This window comes from Homo sapiens, chromosome 9 (assembly GCF_000001405.40).
Source record: "Homo sapiens chromosome 9, GRCh38.p14 Primary Assembly".
Lineage (NCBI taxonomy): Eukaryota > Metazoa > Chordata > Mammalia > Primates > Hominidae > Homo > Homo sapiens.
The window spans coordinates 108,633,467-108,636,465 of record NC_000009.12 but is presented as its reverse complement, the minus strand read 5'-3'; the positions used below and the strand labels follow the sequence as shown (position 1 = coordinate 108,636,465).

Sequence of the window (2,999 nt, the reverse complement as noted above, 5' to 3'; positions counted from 1 at the left end):
GAAGAGCTGAGTTATTTTTTAAGAGTCTGAACTACAAAGAAATCTGCTGACAGGAGATGGATAATTTTCTCCTATCCAAGTACTAACCAGGCCAGACCCTGCTTAGCTCCCAAGATCGGATGAGATTCAGGGTGGTATGGCCATGGACAGATGAAGAATTTTCTGTAGGACTTCTGCCAACTCTCCTGTAAGGAGGCAAAGTCTCTGGAAGTAAACCTGCAGGGGGCAAAGTGGAGGGGCAGCAGATAAGAAGCAGAACTCCACAGAAGGAGGAGGAGCAAAACCAGGGCTGTCTAAGGGCTTCATACCAGGGATTGGTAGTTAATACCAGAGCCACAGTGTGGCTTGGCTGGTAAATTATTTGTAGCTTGTTTGTGGTATTTATGTTTAAGGACATAATGAACTGTATACAATTCATTCTACAGGATGGGGTTCTTTTCTCTCGAGTTCCTCTTTTGTTTTTAAAAGTCCTTCAGGAATAAAAGCCTCCTTCATCAGCTTGCAAGGAGGAAGGCTGAACTGCGTGTGACCCAACAAGCTCCCTTATCCTGATGCCTTGAGTATGTGCTGCCCTTCCCAGGAAAGGGGTCTAAGGAGGGCTCACTCTTGTTTTTATCTGACTGTAGCTTACGAATAACCTTCACTTGGCTGGTGATAAGAATTATGGAAGCACAAGGGAGGTGAAAAAGGAAAATGTAAGTGGAAGAAAAAAATGTAAAAGGAAGAAAAAGACTAAATGAAATCCATGGATGCGTTTCCTTGTGTGTGCAGGAGAGTGAGTACATGTATATAGTATTCTTCCCAAACTGAGGTGGGATTTTTCTGGAAGCTTACACCTCAGAGATTTCCTAGTACTTTAGATTAATTTTATATTCATATACATATAATATATATCTTATAATTAGGTTAATCTCTTAGTAATATTCTTAAGTAAAAAACTTGAATTAAATAAAGGTGAGTCGAATTCCTACTATGCACACATCATAGAGTCAGAAAAAGGTGCGTCTCTTCTCTGAAGGCTTTTATGGTCTGGATGTGAGGGGCTGGCAGAATTGTCGATGGGGACAGAGTTGAGGGAGGCCACCAGGCAGGCACACACATAACCAGATGGAATGTGGGAACTAGAGCCAGAATTGTTCTTCAGTGGTTTCATGAGAGCGACAGAGTTTTCTGATTTTTAGGAAGCAAAGATGACCTTATATGGATTTCTACCCAAGTGAGAAATCATACCTATGAATCACGTGGGGATCCAGAGGCTCGAGCAGTGCCCCACACGTGAAATGTCTTTTGTGGCTTCAATGTAAAAACAAAGTTAAGCACCGGGATATAGGACAGGCATTTTCTGAAATGTCATGATTATACCATAGATAGCTGGGAACATAATGAAATTATTTTGGCATCTTATGTGTGATGTTAGTGATGAGGCTTGAGTAAAGAGTCACGTTCCTGGGGTTGGTATGTCAGGCCAACACCCCAAATTCCCATCAAGTTTAATCCTGTGGTGGTGGAAGTTCGCTTTCAAGTTTGGGTTGAGTCACTGTCATGATGACTCTCCATTCAAGAACTGTGGCATTTTTGGGCCCTAGAATCAGAAGCAAGTGTGAACTGGTATTTGTGAAATTTTCCAACTAGAAGCACTGGCTGAGGTGGGTAAATAGGGGAGAGGCGTCACTGGGCAGAATGGCAGACATGACGCTGAGCATTGTTCTAAAAGGGGCACAGCAGCTGTTGGTCAGAGGAGGGTTAACGGGCAGGCTTTGTTAGAGAAAAATATTTTATAAAGTAATAAAAGTCAAAGGGCAGTCTTGCAGAAAACATCGGCTTTGTGATTAATGTATTCAGCTACTAATTATTCAGGGGAGGTTGTCTGTCTGTCCAGACTTACGTGTTAGGGGCAGCACTGTGAGTCACTGGGATTTGGTTGTTACAACCAGAAAAACCAAAGTGGGTTTTAGGATTAGGGTCCCTTGGGATTAGCAGAGTCCCTACTAAAACAGCTTAAACATCCAAGGGTTTATTTTCTTACATAAATGCAGTCTGGGAGTAGGTTGTCCTGTGCTTGCAACAGCAGCTTCACAGAGTCATCAGGGACTTGGACTCCATCCAGGTTATAACATTTCCATCCCGAGGGCGTGGCCTTGTTCTCACAGCCTGAGATGGTGGCTGGAGCTCCACCTGTTACAATCCGGGCAGTGAGAAGAAGGGAAGACCGGAGGACCCTTCCCTTCCTCTTAAGGACACTTCCTGAAGTACCACATAGTACTTAAATCTCATAGGTCAGCCTTAGTAAAAAGGCCACATCCACCTTTTAAGGAGGCTGGGAAATACAGTCCTTTAACTGTGTACATGGTTGCTCTGAATAAATTCAGGAGTTTGGGATTTTCTTACTAAGGAGGGGGAAAACAACAGATTTTGGGAGGTGACTGTCATCTTTGTCAAGGATGCTTGCAATCAAATGATGAAAATAGACAGAAACACCATGCACCAAATATGTATTCCAAGTGATAGAAACCAGTTATCATTCATTTAGTCATTTGCTTCATTCATTTATTCACTATTTAATAAGCACCAAATGATGCATTGGTCTGGGGAAATGAAGAGGCCACTCCGGACTCTAGAATGACTCCTGGGAATCATGACTTAAAAGGAAAGCCATGACCTTTAATTAGAATAATCCTATGTGGGCTGGGTATGGTGGCTCACACCTAATTCCCAGCAATTTGGGAGGCTGAGGCAGGCAGATCACTGGAGGTCAGTTTGAGACCAGCCTGGCCAACATGGTGAAACCCCATTTCTACTGAAAATACAAAAATTAGCCAGGCGTGGTGGCATGCACCCGTAATTCCAGCAACTTGGGAGACTGAAGCAGGAGAACTGCTTGAACCCAGGAGGTGGAGGTTGCAGTGAGCCGAGATTGTGTCACCACATTCTGGCCTGGGTGACAGAGTAAGAATCCGTCTCAAAAAAAAAATTAATCCTATGTGGGGGGATTTGGAACA

The 2,999-nt window shown here is 43.4% G+C and overlaps 1 annotated feature.

Annotated features, from left to right (window-relative positions):
* Positions 1,008-2,207: an enhancer, noted in NCBI's record as "P300/CBP strongly-dependent group 1 enhancer chr9:111396539-111397738 (GRCh37/hg19 assembly coordinates)". NCBI's record gives its function as "activates an origin of replication core promoter dependent on BRD2, BRD4, P300/CBP, MED14 and CDK7 cofactors, with strong dependence on P300/CBP, by STARR-seq in HCT116 cells {active_cell/tissue: HCT116}" and the evidence as "EXISTENCE:reporter gene assay evidence [ECO:0000049][PMID:35650434]".